The 21491-nt window shown below is 42.3% G+C and overlaps 1 protein-coding gene across 20 annotated transcripts in view, besides 2 other annotated features; it reads left to right on the top strand.

The window, feature by feature from the left end:
* Positions 1-21491, top strand: part of ARMH3 (armadillo like helical domain containing 3) — a 210575-nt gene that overhangs the window by 32944 nt on the left and 156140 nt on the right. For 13 of the 20 annotated variants that reach the window (XR_001747199.2, XR_007061987.1, XM_011540157.3 and 10 more), the window contains 7 exons: positions 9206-9262; positions 10354-10397; positions 11447-11507; positions 13207-13253; positions 13781-13856; positions 16597-16690; positions 21158-21259. Coding sequence is in view for 17 of the 20 variants with exons in the window: in XM_011540157.3 (XP_011538459.1) it covers positions 9206-9262; positions 10354-10397; positions 11447-11507; positions 13207-13253; positions 13781-13856; positions 16597-16690; positions 21158-21259 (481 nt within the window). In the remaining 3 variants the exon portion in view is untranslated. Of the gene's footprint in view, positions 1-7834; positions 8576-9205; positions 9263-10353; positions 10398-11446; positions 11508-13206; positions 13254-13780; positions 13857-16596; positions 16691-18746; positions 18865-21157; positions 21260-21491 lie in introns of those variants that run through there. The other 7 variants (XM_047425735.1, XM_011540154.3, XM_047425737.1 and 4 more) reach the window with 3 other exon arrangements.
* Positions 13314-13383: an enhancer, noted in NCBI's record as "active region_3920". NCBI's record gives its function as "activates an Ori minimal core promoter by ATAC-STARR-seq in GM12878 lymphoblastoid cells {active_cell/tissue: GM12878}" and the evidence as "EXISTENCE:reporter gene assay evidence [ECO:0000049][PMID:35858748]".
* Positions 18655-18704: a silencer, noted in NCBI's record as "silent region_2736". NCBI's record gives its function as "represses an Ori minimal core promoter by ATAC-STARR-seq in GM12878 lymphoblastoid cells {active_cell/tissue: GM12878}" and the evidence as "EXISTENCE:reporter gene assay evidence [ECO:0000049][PMID:35858748]".

The raw sequence follows: 21491 nt of genomic DNA, 5'->3' as shown, positions 1-21491 counted from the left end.
CAGCTTATTAGAATCACCTAAGAACTTTTTTTTTTTTTTTTTGAGACGGATTTTCGCTCTTGTTGCCCAGGCTGGAGTGCAATGGCACGATCTTGGCTCACTGTAACCTCCGCCTCCCGGCTTCAAGCAATTCTCCTGCCTCAGCCTCCCAAGTAGTTGGGATTACAGGCATGCGGCATCATGCCCTGCTAATTTTGTATTTTTAGTGGAGATAGGTTTCTCCATGTTGGTCAGGCTGGTCTCAAACTCCCAATGTCAGGTGATCTGCCCACCTTGGCCTCCCAAAGTGCTGGGATTACAGGCATGAGCCACCGCACCTGGCCTAGAACTTTTTAAAAAGAAAAAATTTCGGCCGGGCACGGTGGCTCACGCCTGTAATCCCAGCACTTTGGGAGGCCGAGGTGGGTGGATCACGAGGTCAGGAGATCGAGACCATCCTGGCTAACACGGTGAAACCCCGTCTCTACTAAAAATACAAAAAATTAGCTGGGTGTGGCAGTGTGCGCCTGTGGTCCCAGCTACTCGGGAGGCTGAGGCAGGAGAATGGCATGAACCCGGGAGGCGGAGTTTGTAGTGAGCCCAGATTGCACCACTGCACTCCAGCCTGGGCGACAGAGTGAGACTCCATCTCAGAAAAAAAGAAAAAAATTCTGGATCTTATCCTGGACACAGTAAATCAGTCTTTTGGTTGTGGGGGAAACAGGAACCTGGGAATTTTTTTTTTTTTTTTTTTTTTTTAAGTCAGAGTCTCGCTCTGTCGCCCAGGCTGGAGTGCAGTGGTGCGATCTTGGCTCACTGCAAGCTCCGCCTCCTGGGTTCACGCCATTCTTTTGCCTCAGCCTCCCCAGTAGCTGGGACTACAGGCGCCCACCACCACGCCCGGCTAATTTTTTGTATTTTTTAGTTGTTTTTTTTTGAAGTTCCCCTATTGAGTATGATGATTAGCCCAGGATTGAGAACCACTGACCTAGTTCATCTGTTTAGAAAGATTTGATTTTTTTGTGGTCATGTGTCACTTAACAAGGATACATTCTGAGAAATGTGTCATTAGGCAGTTTTGTTGTCGTGAACATGAGAGAGCGTCTTTATACAAATTTAGATGGTATAGCCTACTACATACCTAGGCTGCATGATATAGCCTATTTCTCCTAGGCTGCAAACCTGGATAGTGTATGACTATATTGAATACTGTAGGCAATTATAACACAATAGTAATTATTTATGTATTTAAGCATATCTAGGCTGGGCATGGTGATTCACACCTGTAATCCTAGTGCTTTGGGAGGCTGAGGTGGGAGGATCGCTTGAGGCCAGGAATTTGAGACCAGTCTTACTCAAATAGTAAGACAGTCTCTACAAAAAAAAATTTAAAAATTAGCTGGTTGGCCGGGCGCGATGGCTTATGCCTGTAATCCCAGCACTTTGGGAGGCTGAGGCGGGTGGATCACGAGGTTGGGAGATCGAGACCATCCTGGCTAACACAGTGAAACCCCGTCTCTACTAAAAATACAAAAATTAGCCGGGCGTAGTGGCGGGCACCTGTAGTCCCAGCTACTCGGGAGGCTGAAGCAGAAGAATGGTGTGAACCCAGGAGGCGGAGCTTGCAGTGAGTGGAGATTGCACCACTGCACTCCAGCCTAGGTGACAGAGCGAGACTCCGTCTCAAAAAAAAAAAAAAAATTAGCTGGTTGTGGTGATATGCATCTGTAGTCTCAGCTACTTGAGAGGCTGAAGCAGGAGGATTGCTTGAGCCCAGGAGTTTGAGGCTACAGTGAGCCATGATTACACCACTGCACTCCAGTCTGGGTGACATAGTGAGACCCTGTCTTTAAAAAAAAAAAAAAATCTAAGGCTGGGGACGGTAGCTTACGCCTGTAATCTCAGCACTTTGGGAGGCTAAGGCTAGTGGATTGCTTGAGCCCAGGAGTTCGAGACCAGCCTGGCCAACATGGCAAAACTCCATCTATATTTTTAAAAATACAAAAATTAGCCCAGCATGGTGGCACATGCCTGAAGTCTCAGCTACTCAGGAGGCTGAGGTGGGAGGGAGGCTTGAGCCCAGGAGGTGGAGGTTACAGTGAGCTGATGTCACGCCCCTGCACTCCAGCCTGGGTGACAAAGCCACATCCTGTCTCAAAAACAAACACACACACAAAACCTAAACCTAGAAAAGGTATGGTATAAAAGATATAAAATAGTTGTTGATCTTCATGAAACATGAAAAAAACTGTAAAAAAATCATACACCTGAATAGGGCACTTACTATGAATGGAGCTTGCAGGACTGGAAATTGCTCTGGGTGAGTCTGAGTGAGTGGTGAGTGAATGTGAAGGCCTAGGACATTACTGTATACTACTATAGACTTTTTTTTTTTTTTTTTTTGAGACAGAGTCTTAGTCTGTTGCCCAGGCTGTAGTGCAGTGGTGCGATCTCACTGCAATCTCTGCCTCCCAGGTTCAAGTGATTGTCCTGCCTTAGCCTCCTGAGTAGCTGGGATTACAGGCACCTGCCACAATACTCGGCTAATTTTTTTTTTTTTTTTTTTTCTGAGATGGAGTCTCTGTCGCCCAGGCTGGAGTGCAGTTGTGTGATCTCGGGTCACTGCAAGCTCCGCCTCCTGGGTTCACGCCATTCTCCTGCCTCAGCCTCCCAAGTAGCTGGGACTACAGGCGCCCGCCACCACGCCTGGCTAATTTTTTTGTATTTTTAGTAGAGACGGGGTTTCACCGTGTTAGCTAGGGTGGCCAGGATGGTCTCGATCTCCTGACCTCGTGATCCACCCGCCTCGGCCTCCCAAAGTGCTTGGATTATAGGTGTGAGCCACCGCGCCCGGCCGTGCTCGGCTAATTTTTGTATTTTTAGTAGAGACAGGGTTTTACCATGTTGGCCAGGCTGATCTTGAACTGACCTCAAGTGATCTGCCTGCCTTGGCCTCCCAAAGTTCTGGGATTACAGGTGTGAGCTACCGTGCCTGGCCAACTATCGACTTGATAAACATTGTATACTTAGGCTACGTTAAATTTATTAAATTTTTTCTTTCTTCAATAGTAAATTAACTTACTGTAACTGTTTTACTTTATAAACTTTAAACATTTTTTAAAGCTTTTTAACTCTTTTGTAATAACATTTAGCTTGAAACACAAACACATTGTACTATATTTTGTGATGTTTGAGATGACATGTTTGACATGTTTGAGACCAGGCTGGTCTCAAACTCCTGACCTCACGTGATCCACCTGCCTTGGCCTCCTAAAGAATAAAAAGAATATATCTTTATTCTATAAGCTTTTTTTTTTTTTTTTGAGACAGAGTCTCACTCTGTCTCCCAGGCTGGAGTGCAGTGGCGTGATCTTGGCTCACTGCAAGCTCTGCCTCCTGGGTTCATGCCATTCTCCTGCCTCAGCCTCCGGAGTAGCTGGGATTACAAGTGCCTGCCACCACGCCCGGCTAATTTTTTTGTATTTTTAGTAGAGACGGGGTTTCACCATGTTAGCCAGCATGGTCTCGATCTCCTGACCTTGTGATCCGCCCGCCTCGGCCTCCCAAAGTGCTGGGATTACAGGCGTGAGCCACCGCGCCCGGCCCAGCTTTTTTTAGTTAAACAATTTTTAAAACTTTTTAGTTAAAAACTGAGACACACACACACAAATTAGCATAGGCCTATACAGGGTCCAGATGATCAATATCACTGTCTTTCACCTCCGCATTTGGAAGATCTTCAGGGAAATAACACACATGAAGCTGTTACCTCCTATGATAATAATGCCTTCCTCTGGAATACCTGCTCAAGGACCTGCCTTCAGCTGTCTTACAGTTAACTTTTTTTTTTTTAAATAAGTAGAAGGAGTACACTAGAAAATAACAATAAAAAGTATAGTATAGGCTGGGTGTGGTGGCTTATGCCTGTAATCCCAGCACTTTGGGAGGCTGAGGTGGGTGGATCACATGAGGTCAGGAGTTTGAGACCAGCCTGGCCAACATGGCAAAACCCGATCTCTACTAAAAATACAAAAATTAGCTGGGCATGGTGGTGTGCACCTGTAATCCCAACTACTTGGGAGGCTGATGCACGAGAGTTGCTTGAACCCAGGAGGTGGAGGTTGCAGTGAGCTGAGATCGCACCACTACACTCCAGCCTGAGTGAAAGAGCAAAATTCCATCTCAAAAAAAAAAGTATAGTATAGTAAATACATAAACCAGTAACATAGTCGTTTATTGTCATTATCAAGTAGTAGGTACTATACATGATTGTATGTGTTATACTTTTTTTTTTGAGACGGAGTCTCACTCCGTTGCCCAGGATGGAGTGCAATGGCATGATCTTGGCTCACTGCAACCTCTGTTTCCCGGGCTCTAATGATCCTCCTGCCTCAGCCTTCTGAGCAGCTGGGACTACAGGCATGCGCCACCATGCCCAGCTAATTTTTTTGTATTTTTGATAGAGATGGAGTTCACCATATTATTTAGGCTGGTCTCAAACTCCTGACCTCAAGTGATCTGCCCACTTCAGCCTCCCAAAGTGCTGGGATTACAGGAGTGAGCCACCGTGCCTGGCTGATAATTGTATGTGCTACACTTTTATATGACTGGCAGCACAGTAGGTTTCTTTACACCATTATCACCAGAAATATGTGAGTAATGAATGCGTTGCACTATGTTATAATGGCTAAAATGTCACTAGGTTATAGGGATTTTTCAGTTCCATTATAATCTCATGGGACCACCATAGTATATGCAGTCCATTATGGACCAAAATGTCCTTATGCAGCACATCACTGTGTATCACATCTTCTTATGCAATCTGCTTATGTAAGTATCGCTGTTGGCCTAGAAACTCCTTCTGATTTTAATGAAAAATTGAAGACAGTGCCTTATTCATATGAGTTCTGGAGTTCTTTTTGCCCCTGAATTAATCAAGGTGCAGATTTATAGGTTTTTGAGATGAAGAGCAGAACCCAGAGATTTATACTTGGGTTGGCACATATATTTGATTCCCTTCAAAAGGCAGAATACACAGAAAAGGAAGGGGACCACTCAAGGAAGACCGGGGGCTTCATTGGAGATTGCTTTTGAGGAGTAGGAAGCATTTGGCACTGAGTCCTGGTAACTAGGAGTACATTACTGAACCCAAAAGTCAGGAGCTGCACTGAGGCAACCTGACTTTCTTCACTTAATAAATAGCAGTACTGTGAGAACTGGGCCAGCTGGAGAGAGAATTTTCTTTTTTGAGCTTCTGGATCTTCACCTAGTGATTTTTGATATGAGTCCTAGTTGGGCTTTATTTGGCCGGGTTGAAAGTGATGGGTAACACAAAATCTGGAGCTTATTCTTATAAGAAGAGATATGGAAGAAGGGGAGGCCGTGAGAAAGGAATACTTAAAGAGGGACTAGAATATGCAGAGCAATGTGAATGTGTTATAAATTCCAGGATCTGATTGTTTTCATTGTCTTGGAGGAACTGATGAATGGTGGGTAGAGCTCCTAATAAATATGAAATTTATTCCCAACACCTATTTTACTGATGATCTGGAGGGGCTGGCATGGTAGCCATTTTGATCTCTGTCATGTGTAATAGCCTCTGGGGCCTCATTACAACAGCAAGAAAAATAGCTGTGGAAAAATGCTGAGGATAGTTAAAGAGAGGTGAGGGTTATATGTGATAGGAACACACTATCATCAGTAATGAATATTTTTGGAGCATTCTACTGGATGCAGTCCACTCTGAGGCAATGGCTTGGCTTCATGATTGTGATCCGAATCCTGGCTCAGCTCAGTAGGGCTCTCTGAAATGTCAGTCTGAAATATTGGACATGGCCAAGGAACTGGAGAGAATCATATTTCTGGAATGAAGTATGCATCTCTAGTCTTTCAGAAGCCCCCAGAAGAATTAATGTAGTGGGCAAGGGCGAGCTGGTGGGCCTAATTTATCTGGGCTTTGCAGCTTTTGATATAAATCATTCACCAGAAACCATTAAGGAAGCCTGGTGATCATGGAGTAGGAAGGTTTTTGACAAGAACGTGAAGAATTCCAGATGAACACAGCAAAACCAAAGCTGGTGAAATTCTGTGCAAACTAGCATGAGGCAGTGTGCTGGGGAGAATAGCATTCTAGCCACCAGTACAATCAATCTCATGACCAATGGGGTAAGTTGTAACCTTTCCAGAAAGGTACCGAGGCACAGAGAGGTTGGGTACCCAACTAAGCACAGAGAAAGTGAAGAAGTTGTTGGACTTAAGCAATAAAAGTGATAGAAAAGATACCATGTAGTAAATGTGTAGTTCTTCCTCACTTCAAGTAATGTGTTCCATTTTAATCATTTCATCCAAAAAGACAAAAGAGCCCCCAAAAAAGGTCTAGGGAAGAGCAATGGAAAACGTTAAGTGTACCTGCAATCAAATAAAGGCAGGACCCTAGTAGAGTGATACTGTGAAGACTCAAAGATTTTGTAATTCTGTCTTGTGGATGAAAAGTAGATTTCCTCCAGTTTTAAAAAGTGACCAGTACAACAGTGGTATAGTTTAAATAATTGGCCTCTGGTAAAATAGAAATTTTCACAACATAAGATCCTGGCTTTCTAGGCTGGCCAAGTCTCCTGAGATGAAGTGACTCAGATCCCAACTGTTTCCTAGAGCATGACATTTCTCAGAAATTAACACATTGTTTGTTATGTCTAATTAAGTTGTTCCTTTTCTCCCCACACTGCCTTTTTCCTAAAGAGCTTTCCTTTGAATGTGATAATAATGTAAAAGAGGAAAACACACAGCTACCTGTACCAATTATTAAGCCTTTAGCATGTACCAGGTATTGTGCTAAGGATTTGATGTGTCTTACTTCATTTAAGCCTTTTAGCAACCCCAGGAGAAAAAATACAGGTTGACCATTTCTTATCTGAAAATCTGAAATTCAAAATGCCCCCAAATCTGAAACTTTTTGAATACCAACATGACACTCAAAGGAAGTGCTCATTGGAGTATTTCAGATTTTTGGATTAGGGATGCTTAACAGCTAAGTGTAATGCACATATTCCAAAATGTTAAAAAAAAATCCAAAATCCTAAGTACTTCTATCCCAAATGTTTGTTTGATTGATTGATCGAGACAGGGTCTCACTCTGTTACCCAGGCTGGAGTGGAAGGACGTGATCACAGCTCACTGCAGCCTTGACCTCCTGGACTCAAGTGATCCTCACACTTCATCCTTCCGAGTAGCTGGGACTACAGGCGTGTGCCACTATGCCTGGCTAGCTTTTTAAATTTTTTGTAGAGATAGGGTTTTGCCATGTTGCCCAAGCTGGTCTTGAACTCCTGGGCTCAAGTGATCCTCCCACCTTGGCCTACCAAAGCGTTAGGATTACAGGCATGAGCCACCGTGCCCAGCCCTAAAGCATTTTAGATGAGATACTCAATCTATATCCTCATTTTACAGATGAGGAAATAGAAACTTAGCTTTATGTGCCTAATTCGTCACAATTAATAAGCAGAAGAACTAGAATGCAAACGTTTGCTTGGAAATCAGATGACCCCAATTAAAACCTAAAACAGGCTGGGTGCAGTGGCTCACGCCTGTATTCCCAGCACTTTGGGAGGCCGAGACAGGCGGACCACCTGAGGTCAGGAGTTTGAGACCAGCCTGACCAACATGGAGAAACCCTGTCTCTACTAAAAATACAAAATTAGCTGGGCGTGGTGGCACATGCCTGTAATCCCAGCTACTCAGGAGGCTGAGGCAGGAGAATCGCTTGAACCTGGGAGGCAGAGGTTGTGGTGAGCTGAGATCATGCCATTGCACTCCAGCCTGGGCAACAAGAGCAAAATTCCGTCTCAAAAAAAAAAAAAAAATCCCAAAACCTTAAACAGTCTACTTTTGGGTGACTAGAACCTTCAAAAATTATGCCAAGAAATAGTGGTCTGCTCTTTCTAGTGTTACTCTCATCATGGCAGCATATCTAAGTCAGCCGATTTTGCTTGATTTTCTTTTCCAAGGACCCACTTGCATGGGAGCTTCCTTGAGGTCTGTAGAATCAGCAGAATTTGACTGTTGGTTATAGGAAGAAATGTTGAGAGCCTTCCTTCTGTCAGATCAAGTAACAAATGGAGTGGGTTTTACCCCTTAAGTTGTGTTGCATTAAACCTTATAAACATTTGGGCTGTTAAGAAAGCAAAGCTGTCTCTTTCTCTGTTCCCAGTTGACGTGCGAAAGATGCCCTCAGAAGCTTGGTTAAATAGGTCTGTGTGGGGAATGAGCCTTTCAGTTGGGTTTTCAAGTTTCTTAGTTATGAGTTTTTTTGGTAGCTGTAGAAACTGCCAGTCTGAGAACTATTGTTCCTTGCCTCTCTTGGATTAGAATTGGTGCCTGATTTATATGAAATTTTTCCTCACATCCCATAGGTGTAAGGAGAGGTCATTGGTTCTCATCCCCCTTGTAGGAGATGATCCAGTTGCTTTATGAGTTTAAATATATGACCATTTATGCTGCCCAACTGAGATTGGGTCTGGAAAAACCCAAGAACTCTTCCAGTGCTCTAAGTGATGGGACAATCATTAAATTCCAGTGTCCTGACCAGATTGTTGTTTGGGTAATTACATCCTTTTTTTCAGTTCTCCCTGCAGTGTTATTTGGGTATCAGATCTCCATAAATGACCTCTCTGGCTGTTAAGCAGCTGCCACTTTCCACCCCAAGGTGGCTTTGCTTTACGGGTGGGTGAATCAGTCCTTGCATGTAGTTTGTGAAATGGTTAGGGAGCCTTTGGGATGAAAATATAAGTTAGCAACTTATAAATATGTGCCTTATGGCAAGAAGCTTTTATGTTCCCCAAAAGACAGCTATCTGTATGGACTTAGTAAATTATTGGTAGGGTAGGACAAAATGAGTGTTGTGGAGCACTCACTTACTTTTTAGATGCAAGTAAGAGGGAAAGATCGTAGAAGTGATGGACATAAGGCCTGCACTGATTTAGCCTAATGGTAGAACAGAACTGAGGTGTGTATGTGTATTTGTGTGTACACTTGATGAATGCCCAGACACACTGAAAAATTAACTGGAAATGGGAGGAGTCAGCAGGCAATATGGATTGGGACTGTGTATCAGGAGCATCACTGTAGAGAGAGGGCCTTATGGAAGCATTTTTGTTAACACTTTAAAGATAGCTAACGGGCTTTCTTAACTAGGTCAGACTTACCTGGAGTCTCTTCTCTTATTTAACAGTCTGTGAATCCTTATATTGTGAAGCTGTCTATCGTGGATGATGAGGCCACACTCAATGTGAGTATCTGGATCCTTGTGTATTGTCTTACTTATTTGCATTCAATGGTATTACTTTCAGTGAAAGTACATTTAGAACAGAGAGCAGAGAGCTATTCTGTCAATTTCATCCGGTTATAGAGAGGGAATTAATATTTCTTTTTAGTGCGTCAGTGCTACCGTTTTACTGTCTTCTGACTTATTATCATGGAAGGAAGATTTGAGGGGACATTTGCTTGCTAATCATGATGAAGTGGTTATGTTTCATGTTATAGTGTGCTGAAGTTGATTATCCTACGATGTCAATAAATTACACATTCAAGAATAAGAAAGCTTAGATGACTAAATGATGGGAGATTCCTTCTTTTAGAACTAGCCAGATAGTATTTATAGCCTGACTTGGTGAAACTGAAACAGGGGGATGATCTGTATCTACTATATGTATCCTTGAAAGTTTGAGAAATAACATCTGATCTCTGAATATAGGGAGGAAGAAGATGACCAGGTGTCTTGCTTTATTCCCTTTCCATCATACCCTATTCCTTCTTTCCAATTTCCTTTATGGAAAAAATGCACACGTGATTCATGCTGTGGCCTTAATTGATCTTTGTGTTATGCATCACAGGTTCTGGGGGAAAGTTGATAAGTCACTTTAACATTTATTGAATGCTACTTGCCTTTACATTCCTGTGGCTTTAAAGAAAGTGGCTTATCTATGTGCACCTTCATTTAGCATGGACTCATTGTCACCTTGCTGTGACTGTTTTGGAGACATTTGAGGGCTTTTTGTTTGAAGATTCTAACTGGATCTTCTCTTTCAAAGTGAAAATGATCCCAGTGAAATTGTCAACAATCTGGGCTGGTCTGTTTCACCGCTTGATAATCCATTTTAATTGTACCTGGGAACATTAAGATAATTAGATACGAAAAGTCTTCCCAAAGAACTTCCTTTTGATGCTTTGACAGTGCCTCTCAGAATTTCTGTCCTTGTCGCCAACTTTCAGGCAGGACTTCTTGGGCTAATTAGTGTTCTTTCTGACCTTGTTCTAGCATCATCACCAACTCCCAAAGGCTACTGTCTTATTTCACCTGTGCTATCTTTTCCCTTCTAGGGAATGGGACTTGTAATTGCTCAGGCTTTATCTGAGTACAACAGGTAAGTCCACCTTTCCAGAATGGAAGGGGGTCTGATTTTCATTTGAATTGGTTGTTAGAGTTTTGTTAGAGTTCTTGGGTCAAATTCCCTTACCTAGTCTAAGAGTATTCAGATGTACAGCCCCTGGCAGATGTATTTGCTCTAGCTTTGCTTGATGGCCTTAGCAGGGATTGTTTTTAACACCAGGGGAAAAGTAGCCACCAGATTAGTGTCTCTTTAGGCAGTTAGGCACATTCCTTTGCAACTTTTGGTATTTTATTACAGAGCATTTTAACTAGTCTTCCAGCCACAAGTGGGCACTTCCATTTAGTCCAGTGTATCATACAAGTATTTTCCATGTAAAAAAGGTTGTGGAGACTGCTTTTTTGTTATCTTAAAAAATATATAAAAGGAGAAAGTATATTAGGTAGCCCTAGTTTGACAGATGTTTCTTATTTATTGGGAATGAACCTCAACTTCCCAGAGTCCCTGTTTCTCCTGGGGGCTCCCTTCATTGATGCTTGCTTTCCCTTTTGCTGGAAGGATCTGACATTAGTGAATGGAAACCAGAAGTATCCCTAATTCTGGCAAGGGCCAGGCAGGATCTTTCATGCTCCTCTCTAGACTTTTCTCACACACAATTGGGTATCAGAACTTCAAATCTGTCCCATCTCTGCAGAGAGTTTAGTTTACTGATTTCCTTCCTCCTCCTTTAAAAAGAAACAAGATTTTCAGTGTTGTAGCCCTAAAGTAATTTTACTGTCACACTTTTCAAGTAATAGATTGTTTGAGAAGTAACTGGATCAGCTATATGTTAGGGCACTTTTGCAGCCTGCTTTCTAAGTCTAAGTCTCTCCCAAAGTAGCCAGGCATTTTGGTACACACTACCTCAAGAGCAGACAGGTGACTCTTAGCTTGCAGGGATTGTCATGATGCTTGATTGTCATAATGCTTTAGTTTTCTGGAGTCAGAGAATTTTAAGAGTGCTCTGCCCTGATTACCCCAAATGTCAAGGACAAAGACATAATTGATAAACAATCCTAAAGTTGAATTTAGTTCTTTTTGTTTAGGCAGTATAAAGACAAGGAAGAAGAACACCAAAGTGGTTTTTTCTCTGCTTTAACAAATATGGTAAGTCCTGCTTTTTTTTTTTCTCCTGAAAAAAACAGAAACAGTGTGGTCTGCAGGGGTGGACAAATCGGGCTCCGAAGTTCAGATATTTGAAGTGATGGCATGATGACAAGAGAGAGGCTGCTCAGAGCAGATTTTCTTGGGGAGTGTATTTCCTTTACTGAGTTTCTTTCTTTTTTTTTTGAATCCCCACTTTTGATGTACCTTTAGTGAGATTCAAAACCAAGTGAGATGGGGAAAGGAGAGCTTTGGTTTCTCTGGCACTTAGTTTTTCCACATTAATTAATTAATTAATTAATTTTTTAAAGGCTAAAGAAAAGGTACACATTAAGCCAGAATTTGCTTCCTAAAGAGTTGGCTCCGTTTAGGCACTGACCTTGTGGAACACGGTATAGTAGGGTTTGGATCTGAGTGCTCTCCTGAATGCTCCTTTGCTGTCTGCCATGGCTGTTTGATCCTCATAGCTGGTCCTAGGGTTGAGCGATCGTGCAGTAGATCTGTGCCACTCTTCTAATAGCTTAGGGTTTGGGCTTAGAGGTCTGAATTTTAGGGAAGTTATTGGTCCAGCTGGCAAGACTCCAGGGCAAGGTTTCTTGGCATTTGGTACCAGATAATCTGGGACTGATTTTGAAGAGATAAATCTAGGAGATTCTAGAATCTAGGCAGATTCAGAAAGTCTGTCTTTCGGGCATTATTATCCAAGTATTCAGCTCTAGGGCAAGACAATTTTTTGGTTAGTTGCAAGAAGTAGTTGCCCCCTCTCCTCCTCCACTTCTGCAATTCTTTTTCCTCCACTGCTTACGAATTGTTCCTTCTGCCTTCTCAGCCTGTTCTCAGGAAGGGGCCTGATAAACTCTTTAACTCCAAAATGTAAATGAGTGAAGTCTCTCAGGGGCTAGAGAAGTATGAGTTTTGTACTGGTGTTTGATGAAATGAATTAGATACAATTATACTGCTCCCAGATATCTCTGCCTTTCAGTCAAGTTTTCAGAAAGTTTTGTACCAAACACATGAAGCTCTAGGAGCATAGGTTTGTGTATAGTTTCAAGCATAATTAAGGAGGTGGAAGAGGTATTTTTTAGTGGGTGTAGGCATCTTAGTGCTTCTGATATCATACACATTAGAGGCAGCCTACTCCATTTACTTATTCACTTGCTCTGACTAGGACACAAACTAAAGATTTTGTTATCTGAAAAATGGAGAGTGGATCTCATATAGACAGCTTTGGTCTGAAACCTGAATATTGTTCCCAAAGATAGCTTTATGTTGGTTGAAGTCAGCCTGCTTCCTGTGAAGTTTTTCCTAAGTTAGTTTCTGACTTCAAATAAGCAACTTCTAGGAAAGATACAGAGTGATGAAGATGTGTAGGTTAACTGTCAGAGGGACTAAACTTACACACTGAAAAGGAGAGTTGGACAAAAGTACTAGGCTTTTTCTTTAAAGCGAGGTGATTTAGTAGGCAAGATGATTTACTAGGCAAGATGATTTAGTAGGATTCTCATTATTTCATTTATTACTTATGAGTCTTTTAAGATTTTCAAAGTGGGCTGGTTTTGGTGTGTGTGACTTATGGCCTAGAGTTCCAAGTTCTCCCCAGGTGGAAGCAGCTTGTTTTCTTCACTGATAAAAGGCTTCCTAGGCATAAAGCTCCTCTCATATCCTCCTGCTATAAGTTTGCAATTCCCCTTTTCTTCCACAGGTGGGCAGCATGTTCATAGCAGATGCCCATGAGAAAATCTCAGTACAGTAAGTGCCTGACATTCTTGTGCAGTGACTTGGACTTTAGTGTGGGCTGTCCTGCTGGATATGAGAGTGTGCAGTGTTACCTCTTGCTAATCTTTTACAGAATCATACTTTTTTGGTGATTTTCAAATGTTTCATGGGTTTTGAACATTAATGGACCCTTAGAAATTTCTGCTTTTCATATGTATTGAGCGACAATAAGCTGAACAACTGTTGCCAGACTATCTCTGCAATGAAACAAAAGAGGGATGGGTGTCTGAGCCAGTTGAGGACTTAACTGGGTTGAGGTGGAAAAACAGAGGGAAGATAATGAAGTAGATGAGAACTGGTCCTAAGGAATTAAAGTGAAGGCCCTGACTCCTGCCTATACACTTTTGCATACGCCCAAATGGCAAGTAAAGGGGAACTTTAGAAATGCAAAGGAATTGATAATGAGGCGCTGGGGTGCAATCCAATCTTATCTTCATGGTTATACTGTTTTAACTCCCCCCACTATAAAAACTGCTCCAATTTGTTCTCTTTTTCTTTAGAACCAATGAGGCCATTCTTCTGGCACTTTATGAAGCTGTTCATTTAAATCGCAACTTCATCACAGTATTAGCTCAGGTTGGTCACATTAAAAATCCCAGTGTTTTTTTCTCTCTAAATTTCATACCGATTAATTCCATTGAAAAGCCTATCTGGCTGTACTTGTTTAAACCCTGCTTTGCATTGGTAAGTGGTAGTAACAAGGAGTTGAATCAGTTGCCTTTGTTTCCTGCTGTCCTCAAATATGTATGTTTCCATTGGTGCTGAAATGGGTCTAATAACGTGCAAAGTTAGTTTTTTTGGCCAATTTATTGATCCTGTTAACCCAAATGAATTGTCATGACTTCATTTTGCTCACTAGAAATCCCTGGTATTATCCGCTATGTGGATTTTTATATTGGGCTTTCTGCTTTCCACACCACTGTGGAATTACAACTGGAGATAAAATAGGCCAAGCCACTCACCTTATTATCTCACCAATTTCCAGAGGAAAAAAGTAAAAAATATCCTGGCCAGGTTAAGGTTAGCTGTTAACAGATAACGTGGTTTACATACATTGAAAGGAAGTCATAGAATACTGAGCGCTGGGCCCTGCGCTGTGGCTCACGCCTGTAATCCCAGCACTTTGGGAGGCTGAGGTGGGCGGATCACAAGGTCAGGAGATCAAGACCATCCTGGCTAACACGGTGAAACCCTGTCTCTTCTAAAAATAAAAAAAAAATTAAAAAAAAAATAGCTGGGCGTGGTGGCGGACGCCTGTAGTCCCAGCTACTTGGGAGGCTGAGGCAGGAGAATGACGTGAACCCAGGAGGCAGAGCTTGCAGTGAGCCGAAGTCGCGCCATTGCACTCCAGCCTGGGTGACAGAGTGAGACTCTGTCTCAAAAAAAAATAAAATAAAAACAAAACATAACAAAATAAAACAAAATAAAAAAACAAACAAAAATACCCCCAGAATACTGAGCGATGGGTCACATGCCTGAGGGATAGCCACAGTAATTGGCATAGAAGAGGACTAAAGTAGACCAAGAACTCAAGAGCTGTCCATGAAAGCCATTTTAAAAAATTGATAAAGTGTTATTATCTTAAAGCCAGACTGTTTAAAATATGTATGTAGGGTTATTTTAAGGGAAAGTTTGCTTATGCTTTTTCTCAAAGGGTAGATGTATATGGAATCTATTGATTTGAATTTTAACACAAAAATAAGGTCATGCTTAAAAAGCATCATGCTGGTTTGAGATCTGCTTCATAGAACACTTAAGAGTTTTCATGACTGATAACATAGAGACTTTAGTTATTATTTTCACTCGTTTCTTATCTGCTCTCCAAATCCTATAACTGATTGTAAAGGAAGAGGTGAGGAAGGTAAAGTGCTGGTAAAGCTGTTAGGGAAGAAAAGGGAAGTTAAAAACAGCTATCACTCAGCTTAATTCTCAAGAGCTGATGTGGGAGGGATGGCTAAGAAAGGTTAGGGACAGAAGAGTCATCTGTTTTGGTCCCTACTGGGTGTCTCACCATGTCTTTGCCTCCCAATGAAGGCACACACACTTTTGTTTGTTGTGGAACAGGAAGGCCGCCATCTGAATAGCTCTTTTGCTTTTTTTTTTTTTTTTTTTTTTTGGAGATGGTGTCTCGCTCTGTCACCCAGGCTGGAGTGCAGTGGCACGATCTCTGCTCACTGCAAGCTCTGCCTCCCGGGTTCACGCCATTCTCCTGCCTCAGCCTCCCGAGTAGCTGGGACTACAGGTGCCTGCCACCACACCTGGCTAATTTTTTTTTTTTTTTTTTTTTTTTTTTAGTAGAGACAGAGTTTCACTGTGTTAGCCAGGATGGTCTTGATCCCCTGACCTCGTGGTCCATCTGCCTCGGCCTCCCAAAAGTGCTGGGATTACTGGTGTGAGCCACCGCACCCGGCTGAATAGCTCTTTTTATAGTACCTGGTATCCCCTTGACTCATCTACATCTGCTAGTCAATTATTTGGTTATCAGAACAGCCTATTGATGTGTTTTAGGTTGATCTGATGAGATCCCAGGTCTGGATGGGATTGCAAATGTTCTCTGCTCTCTTGTAGAATAATCCTGTATATTTGTTGACCCCAGTTTTTTTTTTTTTTTTTAAATGTCTGTGGTGCCACAGAAAAACTTATGTAATGGGAACCTAGTTGCTTAAGATAAATTAGCACACAGAGCTTATTAGAGATTAGCAAGCATCAGTCGTAATCAAGTACTCATGAGAACGAAATACAGAAGTAGTCCCTTCTCAGCTTTTTTTTTCTTTTTTTTTTTTTTTTTTTGAGATAGAGTCTTGCTGTGTCACCAGGCTGGAGTGCAGTGGCGTGATATCACCTCACTGCAACCTCCGCCTCCTGGGTTCAAGTGATTCTCCTGCCTCAGCCTTCCAAGTAGTTGGGACTACAGGCATGCACCACCATGCCTGGCTAATTTTTTGTATTTTAGTAGAGACGGGGTTTCACCGTGTTGGCCAGGATGGTCTCGATCTCCTGACCTTGTGATCTGCCCAGGCCTCCCTAAGTGCTGGGATTATGGGTGTGATCCACTGTGCCCAGCCTCAGTGAGCTTTCTAATTATGAGACTAGGGGCACAGTGGCATGCATCTGTAGTCCTACGTACACAGGAGGCTGAGGCAGGAGAGTGCTTGAGCCTAGGATTTCGAGACCAGCTTGGACAACATAGCAAGATGCTGTCTCAAAAAAAAAAAATTATAAGGTCCAGAATACCAGTCCTTATTGGTATTAGGCACTTGATACTCAGGGAGAACTGGATTTTCTGTTTTCTTACACATCTGTGTATCTTTTTCAGAGCCATCCAGAAATGGGCTTGGTGACGACCCCTGTCAGTCCTGCTCCTACAACCCCAGTCACACCACTTGGGACCACACCGCCTTCCTCTGATGGTGAGCCCACCACCACTTTGTTTTTCTTGGTTAATATGATCTTAGATCTCTCAGAGTGAGCATAGCTGTGTTCAACAAAGAACCTACGTAGTTGTTAATTTTTCCCACTAAATTGGTCTGTAGTACTATCCTTCAGGCCTCCTAAATTTCCAAAGAAAACTTTGGAAAAAGACAGTCCAGTGATTTTCTCTGTAAAAGAAGCTTACATAACTCTAGCTTTTCCTCCTCAGGGAGTAGTTGTAGAGGCATGGAGTGCTAGACCTGCAAGGTCAGTAATGCCTGTCCTGCCACACTCTCAGAGTCCTTGTGAGGCTCAGATGAGATATTTTGTGAAAAATGTCACCTTGTGATTATAAAGCACTGAAATGAATGTAAAATAGTAATGTTATCTGATGTTACCATTTGATCAATGAGGGAATTAAGGCCAGAGAAATGAAGCAGTTTGCCTAAGATTAGTGAGAGTAGAGACTGAGAACCCAAACATGTAAGCAGGATCTTGTCTATTTTGTTTACTACTAAATGCCTAGCATAGTGCCCAGCATGGTACTTGCTTAATAAATATTTGTTGAATAAATGAATGAGAATGTGAACCTGGCACTCACTCACTGTTATGTGTCTATCAGCCACTCCCAGTTGGAAAGGACAGGCTTTGAGTGTATTATAATTGGGAGTTTGGTGGATACGTAAGATTTATCTCCCTCAAGACAACAACGGTGAAAATTTCCCCTTCATAAATCTTATGGCTGGAACCTAAGAAAAAGGCAACAGAAAAGAAATTATGAATTTTTGCCAAAAATTTTGAGGTCTATTATAGGCTGAGTGTGTTTGGTGGAATATTGTAACCTAAAAACAATCTATGTTAATATTTGATGTTGTAGCTCAAAGATTGACCTTGTTTTGGTAAAGAAGTACAGACAATCCAACTTTGATACTTTCTTTTTGCCTCCCCACTGTTTGTACGTGAAATGACCTTCTTTATTCTTTCTCTCCTTTAAGTTTTCATATACCACCCGTGGCAGTAACATTTCCAGGCAGTATAAACAGTACAGAACTATGACAGGGAGGTGCCATTGTTAGTTATATATATGGTAGCAAATTGGATCTGTTTAGAATTGAAAGCCAAATCCCAAAATATCTTTTTTTTTTTTTTTTTTTTTTTGAGACAGAGTCTTGCTGTCATTTAGGCTAGAGTGTGGTAGTGTGATCTCGGCTCACTGCAACCTCTGCCTCCCAGATTCAGGCGATTCTCATGCCTCAGCCTTCTGAGTAGCTGAGATTACAGGCATGTACCACAATGCCCGGCTAATTTTTGTATGTTTATTTTTATTTATTTATTTGTTTTTGAGACGGAGTCTCGCACTGTTGCCTAGGCTGGAGTGCAGGGGTGCGATCTCAGCTCACCGCAACCTCCACCTCCCAGGTTCAAGTGATTCTCCTGCCTCAGCCTCCCTGGGACTACAGGTGTGTGCCACCATGCCCGGCTAATTTTTTGTATTTTTAGTAGAGATGGGGTTTCACAGTGTTAGCCAGGATGATCTCGATCTCCTGACCTCGTGATCCGCCTGCCTCGGCCTCCCAAAGTGCTGGGATTACAGGCGTGAGCCACCACGCCTGGCCAATTTTTGTATTTTTAGTAGAGATGGGGTTTCACTGTATTGGCCAGGCTGGTCCCGAACTCCTGACCTCAGGTGATCCGCCTGCCTCGGGCTCCCAAAGTGCTGGGATTACACCCATGAGCCACCATGCCCAGCCCCAAAATATCTTACTGAGAAGGAGCAAGTAGTAAGGATTGCCTACTTGTCTCTGTTTATTCAGGCCACAGAATAACCCAATGGAAATACAGTACTTTCTCTTTAAGAATGAACCCTGCCTGGTTACCATGGATATCAAAAGCCATATATATATATATGAGTTCCATGTGATGTTGGGGTTTGGATGCTTCAGAGAACTGCCTTTCAAACTGTTCATTGTGAACACTTCCACCCACACACTTGATTATGCAATGGTAGGATTTGTGCTTACTTACCTACAACCAGTGAGCTTTTATTTTTTCTAGTGGGAAGATCAAGTCAGCCCACTTTCAAATGACTGTCTCCCTTGACAAAAGCTGCTGGGAAGAATTATGAAGCCAAAGATCAAGGAATGACTCTTCCTTAGGAAGAAGATTTTAATTTGTGAGGGATTTTATTCTGTCTCTGTTCTATTTGTTCTTTTCCCTGTCTCCTAACTCATTTCCTTCTGTAGGGTTCCTAAGTATTACAACCTTGTTTTTAATTTTTAGATCTTAATTATAGTGGTGTTCAGTAGCCCACTTATATTTAAAGGTATGTCACCAGAGCCATATTTTTAAAAGCCGGCAGTTTAGCTATAACATTTGTTCTCAGCTCAGACTTGACATTTGACAACTCAGCCTTGGCATGAGAGGACTTTCTGGTAAACTAAAAATACATATACTTCTATATTTCTACATATTATATAAGATAGTTTTCCAGTTATTGCTGTGTATGAGCAGGAAAAAAGCCCCACTTACCAGTTAGGTGCCTCCTTGTATTGGACAAAGGGATGATTACGGGTTCTGAGCTTCAAAACAGGCTGTGGTTTGAAATGACAGTCTTGGGTCATTAACCCATAACATGAATTAAAACCTTTTAGTATTTCAACATAAAAATATATTTGTCTTATATTAGCTCTTGGAGGCCTAACTGGGAAAATAGCCAGGGGTTGGGCATGCTGATTTCTTTTCATAAGGCTTTTTGTTGTGCTTGCTGTTTATTATGGGTTCATAAAATGCAAATGTTTCTCACTGTTCATAAATGTTCTCTGCATATGTCGTAATAACTCCAGAGGGATCTGTTATGGTTATGAATACATATTATGAGTAATATCCCAAAGTCAACTGAGTCTTCATGGCTGAAAATGTAGCAGAAAGCCATAGATTCTCTAGCTTTTTTGGGCCATTATAAGACTCCTTTTAACTTATATATTGTGTCTTAGGCAGTGTAAAAGCACTTAACAAGAGGTCTGAGTCTAATTTAAAGTCTTAGAATTTTGGGAAGCCTACATTAAGACTTTGTTCTGGGCCAGGCACAGTGGCTCATGCCTTAATCCCAACACTTTGGGAGGCCCGAGGTGGGTGGATTGCTTGAGGTCAGGAGTTCAAGACCAGCCTGGCCAACATGGTGAAACCCTGTTTCTACTAAAATACAAAAATTAGCTGGGCATGGTGGTGGGTGCCTGTAATCCAAGCTATTTGGGAGGCGGAGGCAGGAGAATTGCTTGAACCCAGGAGACGGAGGTTGCAGTGAGCTGAGATGGCACCACTGCACTCTAGCCTGGGCAACAGAGCGAGACTCTGTCTCAAAAAAAAAGAAAATACTGTGTTCTGTGGTCAGCCCTGGTCATTAGAGGCCAATTATCTGTCATTGTTCATTGGGACTGTGGCTCAGAGAACTGGGTGGGGGATTTCTCTTAGAAACATCAGCTAGGTATGTAAAACTCAGTTCCCAGGCTGTTCCAATCAGTAATGTTCATCTGTTTTTATTTATTTATTTATTTATTTATTTATTTATTTATTTATTTGTGACAGAGTCTCGCTGTGTCACCCAGGCTGGAGTGCAGTGGCGCCATCTCGGCTCACTACAACCTCCGCCTCCCGGTTTCAAGCAATTCTCCTGCCTCAGCTTCCCTAGTAGGTGGGATTATAGGCACCGACCACCATGCCCAGCTAATTTTTGTATTTTTAGTAGAGATGGGGTTTCACCATGTTGGCCAGGCTGACCTCGAACTCCTGACCTTAGGTGATGTGCCCAACTCGGGCTCCCAAAGTGCTGGGATTACAGGCGTGAGCCACTGCGCTTGACCTGTTCATCTGTTTTCAGTCTACTATTACTTTCAGTTCCCTTAAGCGGGGAAGGGAAGTCTGCCACTTAATAGTGGTAGAATTTGAATATAGTTCTGCCTTAACATTTTCCCCTCTCTATCATGGGTACGTCCAGCCTAAAGACTTGTTCTCAAAATTCAGCAAGATTTCTCCTTGTTAGGGAGGAATCTTCACTGATTTCAAGCAGGAGACCCATCAAAGTAAAACTCATTTATATTCAATACAGATCTTTCCTTCAGGTAGAAATCGAAGTTTCTTTAAGAAGGGCCTTAAACTCTTTGGGGATACTTGGGGCAGGAAGTGGAATCAACATACCCTTCCCAGGATGTTGGGAGAAAAAGCACCGTTCTTGGAGACTGGCCCTAGATAGGAGAGCAGGTCACTGGGCTTAATTTGGGGAATAGGAAGGGGGCTCTACAGGCTTAGGAAGAGTAGATAAAAGTTTTGTGATGAGCACTTGGTCCTCCCTCTGTTGTGGAAAAAGCTTATTTAGTGATTTTTTTGCCTGCTGGCAAATTGGCTATGTGGGTAGAAGTGTTAGATGGAATATGTTGCAGGCTAAGTGCATTTTATCTGTTCTATTCCAGTTATAAGTTCTGTGGAACTCCCACTGGATGCAGATGTACAGACCAGTAATCTACTGATAACCTTTTTAAAGTATAGCTCAATTGTCATGCAGGACACCAAAGGTAAGCCATAGCTATTTTGGGGGCTCAGGAAGTCAAAGGTGTGGCAGGCAGCTAGCATCAAAGAGCAACATTAATATTTTGAAGCTTTGACAAGATGAACTATTGGGGCCTTGTGTACATGGTCTTCATTGCTGGAAAATAGTGATGTCTCACCTAATTGCTAGATGGCAATTAGGTGGTGTTGGGAAAACCTGAAGCTGGAGGGGAGTACTCAAAAATAGAACAGGAAAAA

The sequence above is a fragment of the Homo sapiens genome, chromosome 10, assembly GCF_000001405.40.
Source record: "Homo sapiens chromosome 10, GRCh38.p14 Primary Assembly".
In the NCBI taxonomy this organism is placed as follows: domain Eukaryota; kingdom Metazoa; phylum Chordata; class Mammalia; order Primates; family Hominidae; genus Homo; species Homo sapiens.
The sequence above is the reverse complement of the archived record's forward strand: the minus strand, read 5'-3'. Positions and strand labels throughout refer to the sequence as shown.